Below are 24876 nucleotides of genomic sequence, written 5' to 3'. Positions count from 1 at the left end.
AAATGATTTTTGTCCTATAGAAAAAATAACCTCTGAGGGTTATGATTTCATTACCCTGTACCTAAATTAGCAATCTTATTTCAGGTTTCTTCCTTTAGTAACTCTCTTTTTAATTTCTCATATCCTTTTTTGAAACAGGCTTACCATCCCTGCTGATTCATTAGTGAGTTCAAAACATCTTTGACATCTGTATACTATATACCCATATAAGAGCCATGTTTTTAATTTTTTGAAAATTATACTTTGACATGATTTAGATCAGTGGTTCTCAGACTTTCAGATTTCATAAAGAATAAAAATTATTAAAATAAAATAAAGTTGGATGCCATTTTGAATTTTCCAAGTAATGTCCACTTAAAAATCACAAAATGGAAAACTATCCTCTACAAATACCACCATTTTATTATAGGCTGTGCAGGGCTTTTTAATACCAAAAGAGTGGAATAAAATGCAATATTAGCCACATAATATTATGAAAGTTTACCCCATTCTACTTATTTTCCTCATTGCACTGCATTTTGGTAAGAACCTCAATGGCAGGCATAATTTAGCAAGACTGTGTATAAATGACTGGTTTCCTTTGTACTTGTGCAGCTTCTTTTATTCATTCACTCCAGGTCTTCACTGAGGTCTTTCTATGTTGCAAGAAATGCCTACTATGAGAGAAAGAGCACCAATTATATGCCAAGGAGCTATCTTCTATGTACAAACATGGTTCCTGATGTCCTGGAAAATATATTCTAGTGGAGGAAGATTGACAATGAATAATTACATAATTAAGTGATTATATAATCAAAATTTTGACCAAATTATTGTACCATTAAAATTTTGCCACATATTATAAGGAAAGAGCACACATTTAACAATGTGCATTGAGTTGCTTGTATGCCAGTCATTTCTCAGTGAAAACTACGACCCTGATAGAAGGACCTAACAAATTATTCTCAAAATTGCTTCTCCCAACAAAAGAAAGCCACTCTTTAAGGATTAAATGTGTGCCTGAAGGTAGCAGATAGTCAATAGTAGTTGACTTTGCCTTGCAGGGCTTCACAAAACCCTCAGAGAGAACAGGGACCTCTTACCTTCCCCTTCCTTCCTTCATCCCTAGAAGAAAGAAACTGGGCACTGATTAGTTTTCTCTAGAGAAAATAAAGTAAAATGAGGTTAGTTCATAAGTTAATCTTTCTGAGAGACACGAAAGTGTGCTGTTCAGCTGATAATATTATTTAGTTAATTGACGCTAATTAGCTCGCAGTCCAACAGACTTAGGCCCCATGGCTATGAAGCAATTCTACAAGGAGGGGAGAAGAGTATTATCATGTGCAAATATCCCTTCTTACAAACTTTCTGGAGAAAAGTTTTGACCTGATTGCATAAGTGTGGGCAACTTAGGCTTCAGGATAGTTTGTAAATATATAAGAAGAGAACAACAAACAGTTGAAACAATTCATGCTCTCCTATGCTGCGTTTGAAAGGTGATGGGGACAGGAAACCAAAACTCCTAAAAATTTCTTGAACAAATGCGAGGGTGAATAGAGAGAAAGACAAGGTAAGGTAGTTTGACTGAGAATTTGAGACTATTAAATCGGTTGAGAAACATAAAATAACTGACTCCCAGGAAGCAAAGCCTGTTACATATGCGACCAAAAAAGTGGTTGGGAGATTTCTCCTTGTTAGATAGTCAGGGAATACACTTCTATATTTGTGTATGAAGGCAATTTTCACAAAATAGGTTTGGCAGAGGAGTGGGGCAATAAATAATCTTCTCACTCTTCTACCATCACCAAGATTTATCTGTATTCCTCTGTAGACTTCATGGTTTGGGGATGACCTACACAAGTCAGGCTCAGTGAAGGTGAGGAATGAAAGCCTTTATACACTTTTGAAAAGCCAAAAGAAACAGGTATTTAATTTATAGAAAACCAATCAGGTAAGATACTCTGAGGACAAGAGGCCCATTTTGCAACTCAGGGTAAGAAAAGATTGATGAAAAGTTTAGCAGTGTTAACTCTCTACTCTCCCCACCCCCAGTAAACCACCAGAAAAGACTATCGATCAACCAAGACTGAATTTATTAGACTTACAGTAGTGAGAGAGGACACCAATTTGATAAAGTATTTATAGCTTCTCAAAATGGGGGTATTTATAGGTATTTATAGGGGGTAGTTATAGGTATTTATAGGTATTTAGGTATTTATAGGGCAGATTTCAAGCTGAGTCATGAAAAGTAGGTAACTTGGTATTGGGCAGAGTTTATGATATGGTAACTTTGGCTTGATAAGCACAGCAAGATGAGGTACTTGAAGAGAGTCTTGATAAACAAATTGTTAGTCTTGCTAAATAAGCTGTTAAGTTGGTTCACAGTTTTATTGTCTTGATGATGAGTATTTCCTAGAGTAAGATGAAGTCGTTATTTTTACTTGCCTCAGTATGGTTTCACATAAGAATAGGAAAGTATGCCCAGTCCCAGTAGTGTTTAATGTAAGGCCTCGGAACTATGTTGGTTTCAGTTCTCAGGAGTCTTTTTCATTTTTCTCCAGCCTAAGCTACAGAATAGAAGATTATCAACTAGGGACATGATCAATCCAGATTTATATCACTGTTTGATATGTTGTGGTTATATGAAGGGTTTCTGATGATAGTCACCCCATCCATTATTAATAACAGATTTTTTTAATTGTTCATTTTGTTGGAAGATCATGTTTGGATCATTTTATGGAACAACTACTGCATAGCAGATTTTAAGACTCTGGAGAGCACACATTTGAGAGTGGCAATATAATTTATATAATTTCTTTCTTTTTTTTTTTTTTTTGAGACGAAGTCTCACTCTGTTGCCCAAGCTGGAGTGTAGTGGCACAATCTTGGCTCACTGCAAACTCCACCTCCCAGGTTCAAGCGATTCTCCTGCCTCAGCCTCCCGAGTAGCTGGGATTACAGGTACGTGCCACCATGTCTGGCTAATTTTTGTGTTTTTAGTAGAGACAGGGTTTCACTATGTTGGCCAGGCTGGTCTTGAACTCCTGACCTCATGATCCTCCTGCCTCGGCCTCCCAAAGTTCTGGGAATACAGGCGTGAGCCACCGTGCCCGGCCCAACATAGATAATTTCTATGAGAAATATTATGATATGAACTTGTAGTCACTTTTAAGGCAGAAGCCAAGAGTGACAACATTTTATCCCCAATGTGAAGAGGCCACACAAGCAGATAGAGAGTATTAGCCAAATTACATAATTTCACTATTTTTATGTTTGCCACCCAGATAATTTTAGCAACATTAAAGATCCAAAAGAGGTCTGTAATAATGCAGGTACAGCATTCTTTCCCTAAGTCAGCACACATCCTACCTCGAAAGACTTCTGTTTTGAACCATCACCACACCTGTGAACCTCTTAGGTGAGAAGTTCTACAGCTGTAGCAATGTTGCCATTGTCTGTAGAATCCTGCCTACTTGTCAAGTCTCATGGAAAGTGTGAAATGAAGAAGAAAGCAGTCTGAAATGTTCTTTCAGGGGTTGATTTAAGATGTAAACCAAAGTTCAGCATTTTTGAATTAAATTATCTAAATGTCTTTTTTTCGTAGAAGGGAAGTCTGCAGGTCAAAATGGAGGCGGGGTGATACTAAGAACTCTCCTGAAGGCAGACCTCAGTTTACTCACATTATAGATCCCTGTTCAATTTACAGATCGCAGATCGCAGTCAATAGTCTTTTGTGCTTCAAATACTCATACGGGGATGTCAAATAGAATTGGCCTGGCATAAGGTCTATCACCTAGTGCTAGGCCAATTCTATCTGACATCCCCATATGAGCATTTCCACTGAAAGCAGATCATTGGGTAATCCCTCACAACTAGTATTGGATTTGAAGCACAAAAGACTATTGACTGCAATCTGTAAATTGGACAGGGATGGGGGTTTAGCTTAACTAATGCACCTTTCTTGCAAGGTCTGTAAAAGTTAGGCAATGTTTTAAATATACCCCAACTGTTCCCTGGCTTTTTCTACATTCTATTTCTGTAAGGGTTGATTGCAAAGGCTAGCTTTTCTGTGTATTTTTTTCCTACAGAAGAAGAAACACCTCATTTATAGGTTTGACATAGCAGAGACTTTAGGTTTCTTGACTCTCTGGTCTGTTACGGTTTTTGTCATCTAAATAAGTTGATTGGTGGAAACCAACTTATTTATAACAAGGAAAAGGTATCAAATAAAGCTGGATGGCACCCAGATAAAAATGAGTACAAATCCAAAGGTCAGTTTGATTGTATTCTTTAGCCAAATTGCAATAAAACTGCTGGCAGGTATTGGAATCAGGCCAAGAAGTATGTAAACATGCCGAAATATTATTAAGGATGGGAACCGTACAGATATTATGTTTAAGAAATAATAACTTTCTGTTAGCAATCAGAAACTTTAACAAAGAGGAGAGAAAATAGCTAGGGAAATAAAGAATGACATATTGCAGATAAAGCATGGGAATCACTGGTTCTGGTCATCTGGATCTTCTTCATAGATCTTGAATGGAAGTTGTCTACTATTCACAGTTGTTTCCATGATCTGATGGTCTTAATTTGAAGCTGTCTCCACCCTCAAAATCTATGCTTTTGGAGAATTCCTAAGTTCCTAAGGATCCTCAGCTTGAAGTCCTGCTAAGACCATCCTTTCAGTGATTCACGGATGAATTATATTTCTTTAATTGAGAGATATAGATCTTAGAGTCCACACCTTACAGTTTTTCTTTTGTATTATGTATTAATAGGATCTGAAAATATCATTTTCATCAAGCCTCAAGGACACTTTTTTTCCTGTGATGTCTCTTTCGAAATCTAAATCCTCTGGACATATAGCGAAGCAAAATTCTCTTTTAGGTATGATACACAACACAAGTATAAGGATATAGTCAATAATAACTCTGGGAGTAAGAACACATTATGAACAGTGAAGACATTGACAAACCTCCGGGACCTTTGATTTGTGCTATAAAGTATACTATGATCAGCCCTGATTAACGTAAGTATTGGAATCAAGTAACCTAGATATCAAATATTTTAAACAATTATTATACCAGTCTGTGTACATGAACAATAGCATGCTTATTTTAACATAAAAATGTGTATAATATTAAAATGTTTTGTTACTTAAGATAGGAAGTCTAAACTTTTGTGATATGTCCATTTTTTGTTAAGTTGAAAAAATAAAAGGTCTCTCTTCATTTTTGACGTAAAAACATCTGGAGAATGCTAAATAAACCTAATTATCTCCATTATTTTTACTTTATGAGGTAAAGGAGCAGAATTTTGTGTTACCTGGTGGAAATTCCAGGAAATCTAAAAATAATGTCAGCATAAAAGACATCTTAACAGTTTGAATGATCTGAATTTATGGACTGAATTCAGAAAATCATAAATTAAAATTGTCTTTAAGAAGAAAAAACATTTAAATACAAGTCCTAGTTTTAAGCAATATTTTGAAGATATACAATGATATATGACTTTTAGTAACTTATTTTTTCTAAGAAAATAAGAAAACTTTTATCAAAACAAATGAGGAATATGTCAAAAACTTAGAGAGATATCTTGGTGATAAAAAAGTTATTATTGAGCAAAGAACAGCTGAAAATTTCACAAATTTGGTGATGGAAAATAAATGGACAGATCTAAGAAGCTCAGCAAGTTCCAAGCAGAATAAACTTAAGAAAAATCTTCCAAACACATTATAATTGAACTGCTGAAAACCAACTATGAAAAAGAAAATTGTTGAAAAGAATCATTGAAAAATGTCAGTTGACTGGGCATGGTGGCTCAGCTCATAATCCCAGCATTCTGGGAGGCTGAGGCAGGAGGATCACTTAAAGCTAGGCCAGCCTGGGCAACAAAGTGAGACTCCATCTTTACATTTTTTTTTTAATAGCCAGGCATGGCAGTGCCCTTCTGAAGTCCCGGCTATTCAGGAGGCTGAGGCAAGAAGGCTTGAGTCCGGGAGTTTGAGGCTGCAGTCAGCTATGATTGCTCCACGGCACTCCAGCCTGAACAGAGTGAGATCCTGTCTCTAAGAAAAAAAAAATAAGATAAAGAAAAAGAAAAGTGTCAGTGATTTGAATAATTGAAGATTTCTCATCAGAAACTATGGAGATTAGAAGATAGTGTAATAACATTTTTCAAGTGCTTAAAGAAAAAAAACTGTCAACCCCAAATTCTATTGCCAGTGAAAAAATTCTTCAGGAGTGAAGGCAAATAATACATTCTCACATGAAGGAAAACAGAGAGTTTATTGCTATAAGATCCTGCCTTAAAAGAAATGCTAAAAGAAGTTCTTCAGGTGGAAGGAATTATAACAGAGTAAAAATAGGAACTTTATGAGTTAAGGAAAAGCAACTGAAATGATATCTGTATTATTTTCCTAGAACTGCCATAATCAATTACCACATAATTGGTGGCTTAAAACAACAGAAATTTATCCCTTCACAGTTCTGAAAGCCAGAAGGTGTGGCAGGACTGTGCAGTCTCCAAAGCTCGGGGGAAGAATCCTTCCTTGCCTCCTCCAGCTTCTGGGACTGTCAGCGTTCCTTGGCTTCCTTGACTGCATCATTCTAGTTTCTGTGGTCACATTGCTGCCTTCTCTTCATGGCTGTGTTTTCTTTTCTGTCTCTTATAAGGACACTTATCATTGAATTTAGGACCCATTTGGGCAGTCCAGGATGACCTCATCTTGAGATCCTTAACTTATTTATATCTTCAAGGACCCCTTTTCCAAAGAAGGTCACGTTCACCCATATCAGGGGTTAGGACAGGGACATATTTTGAGGGGGACAGCATGTAATCCATTACCCATAGTAAGTCTATAGGTTACTTTTGGGATTTTATGTACTCTTAGTCCATTTTGGCTGCTATAACAAAATACCATAGACTGGGTAGCTTATAAACAACAGAAATTTATTTCTCAATTCTGAAGGCCTGGAAGTCCAATATTAAAGTGCTCGCATAGCTGGCATCCAGTGAGGACCCATCCCTCATAGGCAGCACTGTACCTCTGTATCCTCACATGATGGAAGGGGCAAGGCAGCTCCCTATGACCTCTTTCATAAGGGCACTAATCCCATTAGCCCTCATGCCTAATTAACTCCCCAAAGGCTCCATCTCTTAATACCATTGCCTTGGGGATTAGGATTTCAGCATACGAATTCCCTACATATGAACACATATGTAGTTCATAGCACGTATTTAAAATACATCTATATCTAACCACCATCTCTCTATATATATTTCTATTGAAATTGAAAATTATAACATTGTGAGATGGAATTTTCTATGCAATTTTTTCTATGCATTAGATGTAATATATGTCACAACTACAATATGGGGGAGGTAAAAGTAGTTATGGATTGTAAAGTTTCAATAGTTTGTCTGAAAGGGTAAAATATTGACTCTCAGTTTACATTTTAGGTAATAATTCAAAAGAAGGTAAGTATGTATACTATAATGCCTAGAATAACTATTCGTGTGTGTGTGTGTGTGTGTGTGTGTGTGTGTGTGTGTGTGTATGAAGAGGTATAGTAAAACACCAACAGATAAAAAAATTCATGTAATCCAAGAGAAAAGAAAAAAGGGCAAAAAGGGAACCAGAAGAATAAAAGAAAAAAGAAGGGCTATTAAACAACTAATAATAATATATAGACCTAAATCCAGCCATATAAATAATTACATTAAATGTAAAAGTTTTTGTATTAAAAACAGGGATTGTCACATTGATGATAAAACCAGGACATAACTATATGCTGTCTACAAAAACACCACTTGAAATATAATGATATAGATAGGTTAAAAGCAAAAGCCTGAAAAATGACATACCATGCAAACACTAATACAAAAAGCTGGAGTGCTTATATTAATATCAGACAGAATAGGCTTCAGAACATGGAAAACTACCAGGAAGAAAGAAGCACTTTAAACAATGATATAAGGCTCAATTCATCAATGAGACATTACTATCTTAATTGTGTATGCATTTAATAACAACTTTAAAAGCTCTGTTTTACCTAATACAGGCAGTAACAGAACTGAAAAGAGACATAGACAAATCCACAATTATAGACTTTAACCTTCCTCTTTCAGTAATTATTTAAAAAGTATGTAGAAAATCACCAAGGATATAAAAGACTGGAACAACACTACCAAGACTTTAATCTAATTATCATTATGGAACACTTTAATCAACAACAGAATACATATTTTTAAGTGCACATGAAATATACACCAAGATAGTCCATGTTTTGAGTCACCAAAAATTTATTAAATTAAAATAAATGAAATCATACAAACCATAGTCTATGACCATAAATTGATCAAAAAATCAACATAAGAAAGTTACCTGAAAAAAACTCTATATCTTTGTAAATTAAATGGCATAGTCCTAAAGATTACATGAGTCAAAGAGGAAGTCTCAAAGAAAATCAGAAAGTATTTTGAAAATAAAAATATACTAAAATTTGTGGAATGCAGTTAAAACAGTCCTCAGAGAGAAATTTATAGCACTAAAAGCCTTATACTGAAAAAAAAAGATAAATCAATAAGGTTAGCTTTCATATTAATAAACTAGAAAATAAGTGCAAACTACACCAAAAGCAAGCAGAAGGAAGAAAATAATAAAAATGACAGTGGACATCAAATAAATTGAACACATAACAACAATAGAGGAGAAACAATAAATAATACCTTGGAAAGACAAATAAACTGATAAATTTTTAAGAAGACTGATGAAGAACAAAAAAGAGAAGACACAAGGCCAGGCTCATGCCTGTAATCCCAGCATTTTGGGAGGCCAAGGCAGGTGAATCACCTGAGGTCAGGAGTTCGAAACCAGCCTGGCCAACATGGTGAAACCCCATCTCTACTAAAAATACAAAAATTAGCTGGGCATGGTGGTGTACGTCTGTAATCCCAGTTACCTGAGAGGCTGAGGCAGGAGAATTGCTTGAACCTGGGAGGTGGAGGTTGCAGTGAGCCGAGATTGCACCACTGCACTCCAGCCTGGGCAACAGAGTAAGACTCTGTCTCAAAAAAAAAAAAAAAAAAAAAAAAAAGAGAGAGAAGACACAAAATACTAATATTAGTTATGAGAGAAGAGATATTACTATAGACCCCACAGACATTAAAAGCATAATAAGAGATTACTATGAACAACTCCATGCACATGCATTTGACAACTTAGATAAAATGGACTGATTTCTTGAAAGATTTAAAGAAAAAGAAATCAAGAACTCAAGAGTCCCATATCTATTTTAAAATTGAATTCATAGTTAAAAATGGTCCCAAAAAAACCCTCCAGGCCCAGATGATTTTATTGATGAAATCCCAAACATTTCTGGAAGAAATAATGCCAATTTTGTACAATTTCTTTCACAAAATAGAACTATTTCTTAATGTATTTTATGTAGCCAGCATTGCTCTGACGCCAAAACCAGACAAAGATAGTACAAGAATGGAAAATTGTAGACCAATATCTCTCACAAAAGCATACTAAAAAATCCTCAATAAAATAATAATGTAATAAAAAATTGGATCCAGGAAATTAAATGACATGGTTTTACAGATTATATGGGTCAAAAAGAAAATCTCAAAGAAAATCAGAATGTATTTTGAAAGTAAAAATATAACATACTAAAATTCATGGGATGCAGTTAAAGCAGTCCTTAGAGGGAAATTTATAGCACTAAAATCCTTACACTGGAAAACAAAAATATAAATCAAGAAGAAAAACCTTCACATTAATAAACTAGAAAATAAGTGCAGACCACCGCAAAAGCAAACAGAAGGAAGAAAATAATAAAATGAGAGCAGACATCAAATAAATTAAACACATAAAAACATAGAGGAGAACCAATATAAAAGAATAATATTAAAAAACCCTCAACAACCATACATCATAAGTAAGTAGAGTTTATTTGGGGGAATGCAAGTCTGGTTCACCATTCAAAAATCTTCAGTGTAATTCACCATACTAATAGACTTAAGAAAAACCATGTGGTCATATCAATAGACGCAGGGAAGGCATTTGATAAAATTCAATGTCCATTTAAGATAAAAATTTCCTCACAAACTAGAAGGAGGATGGAACCTTTGCAACATAATAATGCTCATCTTCAAAAAGCCCCTAGAACTAACATCATATCTAAAGTGAAAGACAAAATGTTTATCATCTAAAATCAGGAACAAGGCAAATATATCCACTCTCATCACTTCTATTCAATGTTTTATTGGAAGTTCTAGTTGGTGAAATAAGCTAAGGGAAAAAAAGGCATAAAATCAGAAAAGAAGAAATAAAATAATACATATTAACAGAGAGCATGATTGTTTACACAGAAAATCCTAAAGAATTAATTTTAAAAATCCAAGAACTAATTCACTAGCAAGGAACAACTAGAAATCAAAGTTTTAAAATCAGGATCATTTTTCAAAAGACTGAAAATTTACCTAGGTATAATCTAACAAAATATTTTTAGGATCTATCTGCTAGAAGTCTCTAAACACTGATGAACAATATCAACGAAAATCCCAATAAATGTAGAAATACAGTGTATTTATAGTTGAAAAACTCAACATTGGCAAAATGCCAATTCTCTCCAACTTTACCTATAGATTTAATGTACTCCCATTTAAAATCCCAGGAAGATTTTTTGGTGGATATAGATAAACTCTTTCTAAAATTTACATGAAAGTGCAAAGAAACTAGAATGGCCAAAATTATTTTGTATGAAAACAAAGTTGGAAAACTCACACTACCCAGTTTTAAGATTCACTATAAGGTCAGAGTTGTCAAGATCTTGTGGTATTGGCAAAAGGATCAATAGAACAGTACCAGTGGATCAGTATCTGGATTCTAGACATAAACTCACATTTTACTTACCATATGGTCAATTAATTTTTTATAGAGGTGCAAAGGCAATTCAATGGGAAAAGTATAGCCTTGACAAATGGTACTAGAACAATTGGACATTCATATGCCAATAAAATGATCATCCACTCTTACCTGACATCATGTACTAAAATTTAACTCATAAAAATAAAAGGTAAATATATAAAAATTTTAAAAGAAAACAGGAGAAAATCATTGTGACCTCAGGTTAGGCAAAGAGTTCTTAGATATTACACCAAAAGCAAGAGTCATAAAAGAAAAATCAATATATTGAACCTCATAAAAATTTAAAACATTTGCCCTGTGTTCTTTTTTAAGAGAGTGAAAAGCCACAGATAGGGAGGAAATAATTTGAAAATCATATATCCAACAAAGAACTTGAGTTCAGAATATTCAAAGAATTCTCAAAACTCAACAATAATAAAACAACCCAATTGAAAAAAAAGTCAAAAGATTTAAAGAGACACTTTATCAAAGAAAAAATATGATTGTCAAATAAGTGCATCAAATATGCTCAACATCATTAGTCATTAGGGAACTCCAAATGAAAACCAAAATGAGATACCACCACCCACCTATTAGAATGACTTTTCTTAATGACAATATCAATGCTGGCAAATATGTGGAGCAATTGAAACTCCTATAAATTGCTGGTGGAAATGCAAAATGAAATAGCTACTTTAGAAATGTTTGGCAGTTAAACATACACTTATCATATAACCCAGGAATCTGATTCCTAGGTATTAACTGTAGAGAAATAAAAACTTATATTCACACAAAAACCTGGACATGAATGTTTATAACAGAACCACATTATTCATATTGCCCAAAAATGGAAACAGACTAAAAGTTCTTCAGTGGGTAAATGGATAAACAACCCATGAAATACTTCTCAGCAATAAAAAGAAATAAATTATTGGTACATGCAACAACATGATTGAATCTCAAATGCATTTACTAAGTTAAAGAAGTAAATCTTAAAAGGCTAAATATGTATGACATTCTAAAAACGGCAAAAATAGAGGGAAAGAAGATCAGTGGTTGCAAGGCTTAGGCCTGAGGGGAGAGTTTGACTATCTACTGAGCAGGAAAAGAGACATTTTGGGGAAGGTGTGGAATTGTTCTATAACCTATTTGTGATGAAGCTTACAAGAATCTGTGCATGTGTTACACTCATAGAACCATACAGAAAAATGGAACTTTACTTTAAAAATTGAATTAGAAGAGTAATATAGAGATTAAAGTACATAAATATATTTTTATGTATAAGTAAATGTATAAATGTCTGCATAGTCGATTTTATTAATTACCACCTTTAACAAAATTAACCAACTTTTATTTTTCCAGACACAAGAGAAAACTAGAAGATAGGTAACCAAGATCAATAAAACTATTTTTATGAGCATATATGTTATTTTACTTAAATAAATTTTAAGATGGCAAAGTAAGTGCATTTAATATAATTTAAGGACATTTGTACATCTCCTTAATCTGTAGTGATTTTATGTATAAAGGTAAAAGAAATTTAAAATTATATCTAATAATCAAAGTTTTCTGTTTTTTCTTATAGAAAAATTATATATCCAAAGATTATTCATTAAATAAAACAATTTAACATTAGTTTAACATCTTAGAGTGACTAAATATCTGGAAAGTACAATTTAAGTCAGAAGATTAAATCCTGTGATTTGTAGTATTAGAAAAGTTCACAAGATTATACTCTTTGAAAAACATGTGTCAAGACAATTTCATTTAAATTATTTATATATACACATATATATGTATGTATGTGTGTGTGTATATATATATATTTTTTATCTTGTCTTAAAAATTTTCCAGACAGAATTATATCTTCCAAGATCCAAGACACTAATGGAAGACATTTTAAAAATAGAAATTATTGGAAATTAAGCCCAAGTGTTGTGTTAATAAAAAATTTTGCAAGCATTATTTTTTACATGATGACAGAACCAAGAAAAAGACATAGAGTTGTTTTTATTGTAAAATTAAATCACTCTAATTTTGTCCAAAGGCTCATCTATCCTCAATGTAAACTCACATGTTACTTACCATATGGTCAATTAATTTTTTATAGAGGTGCAAAGGCAGTTCCATGGGAAAATTTTTAAGATTCTTGAGTTTATTCTAAACTCTCAGTGTCTAGCTTTTCTTCTCATTAGGAATCCATGGTCATTAACCAAATTTGCAGTTAAATTTCTTCTCTGAGTTAGTGTTTTATCTGGGAAAACATACAAAAGAAACACAGTTTAATATTTCTCTTTCTTTTTGACTTTCTTGACTATTTATCTGGAGTAGATGCTCTTAGAGTGTGTACATTAGTATGGAACCATTTTTAAATAATCAGTGAATCTCCAAAGTTTCCTAAGAGTAGGGAAAAGGAGAAAGAAAGGAAGAAAAAACAAAAACAAAAAAATACAAATAGCTGGCATCAGATACATATATTATTAACATTGTAAAGGCTCATTATCTCCCCTCTGCAAGGAAGGGGTGCTATGGTTTGAATGTTTGTCCCCTCCAAACCTCATGTTGAAATTTGATCCTCAATGTTGGAAGTGGAGCTTACGTGGGTGGAGGTGTTTGGGTCACGCGGGTGGATGGACAGATTAATGCCCTCTCTTCAGAGGTGAGTGAGTTCTCAGTGTGTTAGTTCCCCTGAGAGCTGTTTGTTAAAAAGAGCCTGGCACCTCCCCCATGTCTCTCTGGCTTCCCCTCTCACCATGTGATCTCGGTATACCCTGGCTCCCCTTCTGTCTTCCATCATGAGTGGAAGCAGCCTGAGACCCTCACCAGATGCAGATGCAATCTTGAACTTTCCAGCCACCAGAATCATAAGTCAAGTAAACCCTTTTTCTTTATAAATTAATTACACAGTCTTGGATATTCTTTATAGCATTACAAAACAGACTATGACAGGGTGTTTTAATCCATTCAAGCTACTATGATAGAATACCATAGACTAGATCGCTTAAACAACAGATGTTTATTTCTCACTGTTCTGGAGACTGGAAAGTCCAAAATAAAATTGTCAAAAGATTTGATGTCCTGTGTGTTAGTCCAAACTGCACAATTTTGTAAGTCCCTCGCCATTTCCCAGACCTTGGTCAAAGTAAAACATTCCATGGGGATTCAGGCCATGAGAAACAGCCTGCCCAGCCACTGGACTTTCTTATCATATTCTCCTGAGAGAAAGTGCGAGGAACATCATATTCTGCCGGAATAAGGGCCAAACTGCCTCATCAAGAGAACATATTATTGACATTTTTCCAGGCAGCAGGCCGTGTTCCCCAGACCCCTCCTGCCCAGGCCTATAATTGCTCCAGCCTGTAAGCAGTGGCGGGCAATGGCATTAAGCTGGTCCCCCACCTCTGCAGGTCTTATGCTGGACATAGAGCCTGGATTTGCTGTAGAGGCACCACTCTCTCTCTCTGTGTCTTTCTTTAACCTTTGCCTTCCCTTCAAAACCTAACACTGTGAGGGTCTGCTTCCTGGTTCATAGATGGCACCTTTTTGCTCCATCCTCAAATAGTGGAAAAGGAATAAAGTAGCTCTCTGGAGTCTTTTTTATGAGGGCACTAACTCCGTTCATGGGTGCTCCACCCTCATAACCTAATCACTTCCTAAAGGTCCCACCTCCTAATATCATCACATAGAGGGTTAGGATTTCAACACATGAATTTTGGGGAGACACAAATATTCAGGCCATAAGAGAGGGCAAAGACATAGATGTAGGAAAACTCATTTTTCACACACGTATATGTGCACATACACAGGATTAGGTGAGAGGAGAGAGAGAGCATGTGAGAGGAAATAAGCCAGTTTAAACAGTAACTCAGGCCCTTGACAATTCTATCAAATTTATAACTTAAAATGATACTTCTTAAGTCCCTGAAGTACAAAAGCAAAGATAAGTTTTCTCCTTCTTTATGGAAGTTATCTCTCTTTTAGATTGACAAGACAGAGAATCTCCTCATGAGGGTTTCTTCCTTTTTTCTTTGAATGTACCTCTCAAATGAATAATCTTATTCATGTCAAAATTTTCCCCAAATGGTCACTAAATATCAAAGTGTCCCTGGTGGAATTATGCCAGTTAGAGAGAAATGCACATGAAATAAAACAGGAAGGGAGGAGGTATTCTACCTGGTAGGCAAACAGAATGAGAAGATCCTATTAGGATTGCAGGGGTTAGTAAGAATGATGCTTGTGCAAACCTCTGATCTCTAGAAACTGACCAAAGATTATTTATCACCAGTTGGGATCCAGAGAACCTTCCCCTTCTGAGCAGCAAAACCAAATAAAGCAGTTCTCAGGATACAAAGACAAGACTGAGGAAGATCCTAATAAGGTGTTGCAAGGTGACACAGGACAAACTTTGTCCAAAGGAAATTGATCTGACAAGAACTTCTGGACTTGTCAGTTCTTAGGGCTGACTGGTCTATCCTCTTTCTATTGACTTTGGCTTACTAGACTCAAGCAGAAAGTGACAAGGGAAGAAAAGGATACAAACAGAAGCAAGTTTCCAAGAACAAGGTTTACATCAGGAAGAGCCAATCAAAGATCATATCTGGAGGACTGCTGCAAAGTTGTGATAAATGACCAAATAGTATTTTTATAGAAGGTGGAATGAATGACAGACTAAAGATTTCAGCTGATTAAAGAAATTATGGAGTGCATCATTCTCAGTTTATATTGAACTGGGGTTCCTGAGAAATTCCTCCTTATAAATTTACATGGAAATTATAATTTTTACTAGTTGATTTCAGTTAATTAGCCTACTGAATAATTTGATTCTTGCACTCACTAAAAGATCATAGAGCACAAGAATACCATTTACAAAATACTTTAAAAGTGGGGATATAAACACAAATAAGGTCTTGTACCAACCTTGAAGGGATTTTCAGTCTAGGTAAAAACCATTTAAAATAAAAAGAGGGCATCCTTGTTTTATTCCTGTATTTAAGAGAATGTGTCTTTCAGTGTTTAAAATAATGTTTACTGCTGGTTTATGATAAATACTTTAAAAAATCACATTATGGGAATGTTTTCCAATTTTCATTTCCTAAGAGATTTTTGTCAGGAATGTAGTTGAATTTTATTAAGTGTCTTTTCTGTATCTCTTGATATAATCATGTGATTTTCAGCTTTAATAAATGTCTTAATATTGAACTGCTCTTGTGTTACTGATATAAAACAAACTTGCTTTCATATTTCTTTATTACACTTCTGGAATAATTTTATAACATTTTATTTAGGATTTTGGCATCTATATTTATAGGTGCTATTTCAAGTTTCATTAGGATAGCTCAAATAGAGCTTGGAATTGGTTTAAAGAGCAAATAAGAATTCCTTGTTTCAGAAGTGTTTGATGGAGCCTTTCTCTAAAATCATCTAGTACTCTTGCCCTTCTGGGTGAAAAATCTTTCTATTTTTTTCTTACCAATTTGATTCATTCAACGACTCCACATCTATGTGCTGAACGGCTCTATCCAATAACTCGGTGAGGTAGTCCATGCAGGAGTAATTACCTTGGTGGGCAGTATACTATGCTCCTACTTTCTGCCTATTTGGATCTAAGGATCAGTTCAGATTTCTTACCTCCTCTTGAATTAGTTTGGTAATTTTTGGTTTCTTAGTGTTTATGTGTTTAATCTGGGTTTTCAAATTTATTATCATAGGATATACGTTGTAGTCTCTTAAAAATTTTAAATTTCTCTCAATTTCCCCGTATATTTGTAAGAGTCAACTGTTTAATATTTTTCCCTTTTTATTTTTGGTCAGAAAGAAGATCTAAAAAGATGAATTATTTTAAAAGAGTTAATGTATACATAGTATTTCCAATCTGTTCTGTTTTCTTCATATTGTTTTATTTAACCCTCACAAAACCATATGAGGTGGAGCTAAACTGAAAACCTGTGCCCTTTTAAGAAGCCTATGCCAATTTTCTGTAATTGGTATATTGAAATCTTCATCTCAGTATCTTGCTATTATTTCTTTTCGCTGAAGGAATATTTTTATTCCTTCCATTAAAATTTTTTAAGTATTCACTGTCTCTGCAAGAAATAATCACTAGGGTGAAAAAATGAGAATACTACCATCACCATGGAGAAAAAAATAAGTGATTTTAAAAAAGAAGTACCTCTTGCTGCCTACTCAAAGCAGGCACAAATGTTTATTTGTTATATGACTAAACATTCCAAAAGCTTTTACCAAAAAAAGGTAGGAAAAAGTAGATATACAGGGATTATAAATATTACAAATCTGCTTGGGTAGACAAGAAACAGAAGATAATATTTTAAAATATTTCTACTGGGGAAGAGGTTCTGGAATTGAATTTATGTAGGTACAGAAGGCAGAATTAAATTTTAAAAAGTTTATTAGAAAGGAAATTTTGAATAAGTGTGAGGAAGAACTTTCTAGTAATTGTAGCTTCTAACCATGGATGAGAAGGGCTGTCTTACAGTGTAATGGATTTCCTCCCCACATAGGGTGACCATATAAAAATTTGAGAATAAAATGGCATGCTTATAATTATAATTACATAATTCTTGAAGTAATAACTGATTGCTAAATTGATTGTCTTTTATTTGTAAACATATAAATTCTATTCAAAAACTATTTAAAAATAAAATAGCAAGATATAATCATAATTTTAAAAATTCCATTGCTTTAAAATAAAGAAGTAATGAAAGGAAATGCGCACAAACACTGTCTTGGTGTTTGCTGCCCTGTCAGCTTACTGGTGGCCCATCCAGTGGAGCATGGCCGATGTGGTGGTTCTTACTACGGGCCTCGCCACAGCTAACAGGATACCTGAAACTGTCAGCTCACCAGTCGGTGGAGTCTTTGAGAAATAGGGAAAATTATAGGGTAAATTAAGATGAGATGTGCAGGGGAAATAAAGACAGAGATGTCCTAAACTATAGGTATTTTGTTTGTTTGTTTGTTTGGAGATGGAGTCTCGCTCCTTTTGTATTTTAAAGCAATATTTTTAAAGTACTTATATGAATTATCTGTATATTAAAATTATATAAGCAGGAATTTTTTTTCTTGGTACTTATTTGGGTACTATAGTCAATAACCTATAGGGGCCAGGTGCAGTGGCTCATGCCCGTAATCCCAGCACTTTGAGAGGCTGAGGTGGGCAGATAACTTGAGGTCAGGAATTTGAGACCAGCCTGGCCAACAGTGGTGAAACCCTGTGTCTACTAAAAATACAAAAATTAGCTGGGCATGGTGGCATGTGCCTGTACTCCCAGCTACTCGGGAGGCTGAGGCAGGAGAATCACTTGAACCCGGGAGGTGAAGGTTGCAGTCAGCCGAGATCAGGCCACTACACTCCAGCCTAGGTGACAGAGCGAGACTCCGTCTCCAAAACAAAAACAACAACAACAACACAATTACCTATGGGTTAGGACATCTCTGTCTTTATTTCCCCTGCACATCTCATCTTAATTAACCCTATACTTTTCCCTATTTCTCAAAGACTCCACCAACTGGCAAGTTGACAGTTTCAGGTATCTTGTTAGCTGTGGCGAGGCCTGTGGTAAGAACCTGTGCATCGGCCATGCTCCACTGAATGGGCCACCAGTAAGCTGACAGGGCAGCAAACACCAAGACAGCGTTTGTGTGCATTTCCTTTTGTTACTGAGTCCTGCATGATGTCTGTCTTAGTTTGTTCAGGCTACAATAACAACATATCAAAATCTGGGCAACTTATAAACAGCAGACATGTATTTCTCGTAGTTCTGGAGGCTGGGAAGTCAAGATCAAGGAACTGGCAGAATCTATGTCCGGTGAGGACGTACTTCCTGGTTCATGGTGTCTTCTTGCTGCATCCTTACATGGTAGAAGGAGAGAGGAAGCTCTCTGTGATTTCTTTTATAAGGGCACTAATCCCATTTATGAAGACCGAATCTCCCAAAGGTCCCACCTCCAAATACCCTCACACTGGGGTAAGGAGTTCAGCATCTGAATGTTGGAGGGAACATAAATATTCAGCTTGTAGCAATGTACTTGGGAAGTTGCTGTTAGTTACTTTGTGTTTAGAGAGGGTTGGAAGTCAATCAGATTTAACCATGTGTTAAAGTCGGAACTCTGCTCACTGCACAAAATCTCAGTTACTCCTTGCTGAGACCAGACTGAAGCTCGAAAAGTCAAAGTTCACCAGACCCATCTTAGCATGTTTAACACAACTGTTGCTAATAGCACTAGGTTAAAAATGGAAATCCCTGAGCAAATGCTAAACTGAACAGGTCAACGATACAACAAAGTGTACATGGGGACTATCCCTGGCAAACTAGTCATGAAGATATCAGACATACGAGTTGAATTCTCTTTTATTTAAACATAAATGCCACACAGGCAGAAGAAAGTCAGAATAAAAATTCCATGGGGTGTTTTAAGTATGTCCAAAATGGGATGACACTTGGTCATTTGTTTAGTCCTTCTCACCCTGTTGGAGGCATCCAAGAAGGGAAGAAAGTAGCCAGCTGGTTGCCTTCTTTCTCTTTGCTCCTGTCTGACGCTTGGGCAAGGAGTGCAGCCTCCTGTGAGGATGTGGATTGTGGAGCTGAGTAATCTGCATTTGAATCTGGGCTTTGCCTCCTGCTGACTGTGTGGCCTGGAGCAATCCCTGAGTCCCACTCAGTGTCTCATTTTCTCCTCTGTACATTGAGATAACAATAGTAACTACGTCACAAGGTTGTTATGAGGATGAAATGAACTAACACTAGTAAAATGGCATTCAATATATAGCTGTTCATCAAAATAAAATAGGTTCCAGAGTCCTGTGGGAGAGAGAATAAAATGGTAGCTACTGTGTTCTATTCCTTAACTGACTGGTTAGGGCTTCTCTTCAGTCTACAAGGAAAGAATTGCCTTTGGTGCTAAAATAAGAAACCTATTTGATATGGGACAAAGATACAATGACATGAATGCTACTCTCAAAGGGCCCTTAATGTAGGACCATCTTGCTTGTGATTAGAAACTCGATTAAGGGCTTTTAGGTCCTTGCACTCTGGTTAGGAAATATCTAAGATTCTGAAATCCAGAGCTATCTATAATCCTTTTTGCAAAGAGTATCAGCAGCAGACAGTAAGTAGCAGCTTCAGTGAATGAGTTGAAAATCTCTTCAGACTCCTATCATAGTTACAAGAGAGAACAAAATGTTAGCACTGTAAACAAGACTGTGACTCATCAAAATATGGTCCCTGAAATTATGCTCATGAAAACCAAAATGCTATGCATAAGAAATCATATAGCAGCTTCAATGTACTGTAAGATGATGTCATTATTCTGGTTTTATATTAAACTGCCTGTCATTCCATGTTTATGCTAACCCCACACTACTGAGGGGCATTTGATATTATTTTCATTCTAGAACAAAATGTTCCTTAACTGAAAAATTGCTCAAATGATTCACAACCTGAGAAGTACACGTGGGCAGCTCATAATAAAATAAAAGCATTACCTTTGCTAAAGCATTAGAATAATTTTTTAAAGCTGTTTATGTTTTGGATTCAACAGTATTTATTTACTATGTTTTTATAACAGCAGTTGAAAAAAAGCATGTACTGCTTTTTTTCTGACCTGCTGACTTACCTAAATTTTAGTGCTTCTACATGATGCTGGATGCACTTTTTAAGAAAGTAACATCCCAGATTTAGCTACAAATCTGGGTAATCTGGTCATAGCATTCATACTTTTCTCACCACCCCCATCCATTATCATCTAGTTACGTCAGTCTCAGCTCCACTTTTTATTATTCTTCAGACACCGTGATGAAAGGAGTTTGAATCATGCGTCAACAGGTAGCTCCTGTCTCACTCAAAATCAAGGGTCAAGCTCTATGCATATACCCCTGGAGTGGACTTGGCTCAATTAAGACTTGTTGAAAAGCTCTCTGCAGGGCTATGTTACAAAGCAGTTAGTTGCTAAGGGATCAAGAGACCTGATTAGCTGCACTGGAACATAGAACATCCACACACAGTTCACATACATTTCCATCTGTTCAAATTCTTGGACCCTTGAAAACAGAGGTCTGAGAGTAAGAAGAGGAACACAATTAATGAAGCTCTTCCTCTTTAATTCCAGGGTTTCCTAATATTCCCCAAAACTTTAGGTAGTAAAGGTAACAATTTGTTAAGCAGGAAGAAAGTTCTTAGGAGTGGAGATTTTGTTTGTATAAGAAGGCTGGTCTATTTTAGATATGTGCAAAAAAAAGGATTTGGGTCTTTATTAATTTTATTGGTGAGGGGTCATTTTTCATAGGCATAACTCTTTTGTGGTTTCATCAGTAAAAGACCAAGTAATTTATATTTGAAACTCATACATTTAGTTGTATTGATTTAATTGACGCAGGAATTGGCAAACCATGCCCCTGAAACCCAGTGTAATCACCTGTTTTTGTAAATGTTTGTTAGGACATAGCCACGCTCATTCATTTGCATATTGCATATGGCTGCTTTCACTCAAAGACCGAGTGGAATTCAGTTTAAAATAATTACTATCTGGATTTTTACAGAAAAAGTGTGCTGAACTCTGGATTAATGCATGATTTCATAAAACTTCCTCAAACACCTCATGGGTTTTCTGTATGATTGCTCACCTTATGGGTCCTGCAGGAGCTGAGGGATGTGACATAGTTACGGCTGGGCTAAGATCTATTCAGTGATTTTATAGGGCTCTGTGCTGCCTTTGTTTACCCACCCAGGCAAAGTTACTTCTTCCTTTGTATCTTTCTAGACTCTAGAGATGTCTATTTTTAGAGCCATTATTTTAAATGCTTGTGTTTCCTATTTGTTGTTGAGTAACTTGAGAGTAAGGCTCATGCTTGACTTAATTTTTGACTCCCAAGGTCTAATACAATGTTTGGCAGAATACTACAGAATTGAAGCAGTTGAATTAAATTGAGCAGAGTCTCCCAGCATCATCAAAACATGAACATTTTGTGATGGGTGCAAAGAAAAGAGGCTGAGAGTGCATGCTCCCTCACATCAGTTTAAATTGCCTTTTAATAATTTAGTATCAACTCTAACCCTAGAGTTACATGAAAGAAAAGGAATTGAAAGGCTGTGATGTGTCTTGATGACACAACTCAAAGTCAGTAACCAGGAAGTATAGTTAACAAAGACAAGGATTAGTTTTTGCTTTTGATTTTAATTTTTCTTTTAAAACAGTTGAGCAACCTTGAACTTTTATTAACTGAAATGATTGAGGGAATGAAATTTAATAGTTAATTTAGTAATCTGGCTAAATAGTAATGGGTTTTCAATTATTTTAGAGGGAAAATGACAAAATAAATAATTATAAGGTCATACTGAAAAATGTTAAACTTGCTTTAATGATTCAGAAAACACCTCAGGATCTCGAAGTAATACAGTTATCATAATGAACATAAATAGTAGGTGGTCAAATACTTATTGATTTGAATTCTACACTTCTAAGTAGACTGTCTATGAAATTAGGTGGAAAATATGCTGACCCTAGGGTATATTTTTGAAATTGCTTCAGAAATTCTTGATATCAGCTTGTTTACTTGTCATTTATATCTTTCGCATGAAAGTAAATTTCAGTTTAAAAAAGTCAGTTATTTGAGTTTCTTAGCTATTTGCCTTGTAGATGAGGAAAGTTTTACAGTTCTCATATATCTTGAGATTTGGCAGACTTCTAAAACTCTTTTCCTTTCACTTTTGATGCCAAGAGTAAGTGTTAGTTTGTACCCATCTTAAACATCAAAAACAAATATCCTACTATTAGTCTTCTTCAAAAAGTTTGGAAAAGAGATAAAGTAATAGCATATCCTTCTACCAGCGATTGATTTTCTGTCCCAATGCTCAAAGTAATGATTGGTAAAGACTATGGCTCTAGATGGATAAAGATAAGTTTAAATCCTAACTGAGCCACCTATTAGTTGTGTGATCATGGACAAATTATTTGATCTCTCTATGTTTAGATTTCCTCATCTGTGGAATAAGGATACTTAAGTCACAGGACTATGGTAAGGATTAATAAGTTAATGAACACAAAGCCTTTAGCTAGAAAGGTCCTGGCATGGCCGGGCGCAGTGGCTCCAGCCTGTAATCCCAGCACTTTGGGAGGCCGAGGCGGGCGGATCATAAGGTCGGGAGATTGAGACCATCCTGGCTAACACGGTGAAACCCCGTCTCTACTAAAAATACAAAAAATTAGCCAGGCGTGGTGGCAGGCGCCTGTAGTCCCAGCTACTAGGGAGGCTAAGGCAGGAGAATGGCATGAACCCGGGAGGCGGAGCTTGCAGTGAGCTGAGATCGCACCACTGCACTCCAGCCTGGGCGACAGAGCGAGACTCCGTCTCAAAAAAATAAAAATAAAAACAAAAATAAAAAAAAGAAAGGTCCTGGCATGTAGTTAGAGATCTGAAAATGATAACTATTTTTTACTTAGAGTTTAAATTATTAAAAATTATTGACATTTTATTTTTTAAATAAATTTAAATTTATTTAGATTTTACATACAGTCAAATTCATTTTTTATTTTTGGTATATAGTTCTGAGTTTTACCACATGTATATATCCATGTAACCACTATTACAATTGAAGTGCAGAACAGTTTCATCATCCCCTCAAAATCCCTCATGCTCTCTCTCTGTAGCCATACCCTTTCCCCAGCCCTAACCCATAACAAACACTAACCTATTTTCTGTAGCTATAATTTTTCTCTTTCTAGAATGTCAGGTAATTGGAATCATCAATTTTTGAGACTGGTTTCTTCACTCAGCATAATGCCTTTGAAATTCACCCAAGTTTATATGTGTGTTAATAGTTTGTTCCTTTTATTGCTGAATAGTACTCCACAGTAAACAGTTTTTCTATTCACTCATTGATGGAGGGGTTGGTTCTAGTTTTTGGCAGTTTGGGCACGTGTGAACATATGTGTGTGTGTGAACATATGTTGTATGAACATCTGTTTTCATTTCTCTAAGGTAAATATTGAGGAGTGGGATTTTGGGTCATGGCAAGATATATGTAACTTAAAAAGAAACTGTCAAAATGTTTTCCAGAGTAGCTCTACCATTTTCATTTCAGGAATGTATCAGAGTTCCAGTTGCTCTCCATCCTCAGCAACACTTGGTAATGTCAGGTTTGGTTTTGTTTTTTTTAATTTTAGCTTTTCAGATAGGTGTGAAGTGGTACATCATGCATTTAATAATAATGGTGAGGATATTTTCATGTGGTTATTTGAAAACTTTGTGGGGTTTTTTTTTGGTGAAGTGCCTATACAAATACTTCACTCACTTTAAAATTAGGTTATTTGTTTACTTGTCGGTGAATGTTTAGGGTGTTTTTTAATATTCTTTATATATTCCAGATATATATGAGATATGTATCTTTGTCAGATATATGATTTGCAAGTGAGTTCTCTCAGTTAATGACTATAGAATTGATAGTATAGAATTGCTAGAATTGATAGACTATAGAATTGATGGTATTTTCAACCTTTTTATTTTTATTTTTTGATACAGGGTCTTTCTTGCTCTGTCACCCAGGCTGGCATGCAGTGGTGTGATCATGGCTCACTGTAGCCTCCACCTCCTGGGCTCAAGCTGTCCTCCCATCTCAGCCTGCTGAGTAGCTGGAACTATAGGCATGTGCCGCCATACCTGGCTAATTCTTGTATTTTGTGTAGAGATGAGGTTTCGCCATGTTGCCTAAGCTGGTCTCAAACTCCTGGGCTCAAGCGATCCTTCCACCTCGGCCTCCCAAAGTGCTGGAATTATAGGTGTGAGCCACTGTGTCCAGCGGTCTTTTCAATCAACATCCTTTCACAAAAGTATTAACATTTGACAAAGTCCAATGTATCAATTTTTTTATTTTATGAATTGTCCTTTGATGTTACATCTAAAATCTCTGTCTAACCTCATGTCATGAAGGTTTTCTATGTTTTCTTCTAAAGTTTTGTAGTTTTATGTT

General features: G+C 35.5%; 1 long non-coding RNA gene across 1 annotated transcript in view, besides 2 other annotated features; it reads right to left on the bottom strand.

Annotated features, from left to right (window-relative positions):
- The window catches only part of DUBR (DPPA2 upstream binding RNA), an 86273-nt gene that overhangs the window by 22055 nt on the left and 39342 nt on the right, over positions 1-24876 (bottom strand). Inside the window, exon 2 of the long non-coding RNA NR_028302.1 lies at positions 12980-13148. This is a non-coding gene — a long non-coding RNA (DPPA2 upstream binding RNA). The remainder of the gene's footprint in view (positions 1-12979; positions 13149-24876) is intronic.
- Positions 18861-19670: an enhancer, noted in NCBI's record as "OCT4-NANOG-H3K27ac hESC enhancer chr3:107004087-107004896 (GRCh37/hg19 assembly coordinates)". NCBI's record gives its function as "activates a minimal SCP1, AML or CMV promoter by ChIP-STARR-seq in primed H9 embryonic stem cells {active_cell/tissue: H9 hESC(primed)}" and the evidence as "EXISTENCE:reporter gene assay evidence [ECO:0000049][PMID:30033119]".
- Positions 19671-20480: an enhancer, noted in NCBI's record as "OCT4-NANOG-H3K27ac hESC enhancer chr3:107003277-107004086 (GRCh37/hg19 assembly coordinates)". NCBI's record gives its function as "activates a minimal SCP1, AML or CMV promoter by ChIP-STARR-seq in primed H9 embryonic stem cells {active_cell/tissue: H9 hESC(primed)}" and the evidence as "EXISTENCE:reporter gene assay evidence [ECO:0000049][PMID:30033119]".

This window comes from Homo sapiens, chromosome 3 (assembly GCF_000001405.40).
Source record: "Homo sapiens chromosome 3, GRCh38.p14 Primary Assembly".
Classification (NCBI taxonomy): Eukaryota; Metazoa; Chordata; class Mammalia; order Primates; family Hominidae; genus Homo; species Homo sapiens.
This window is presented reverse-complemented; position numbering and strand designations above follow the sequence as displayed.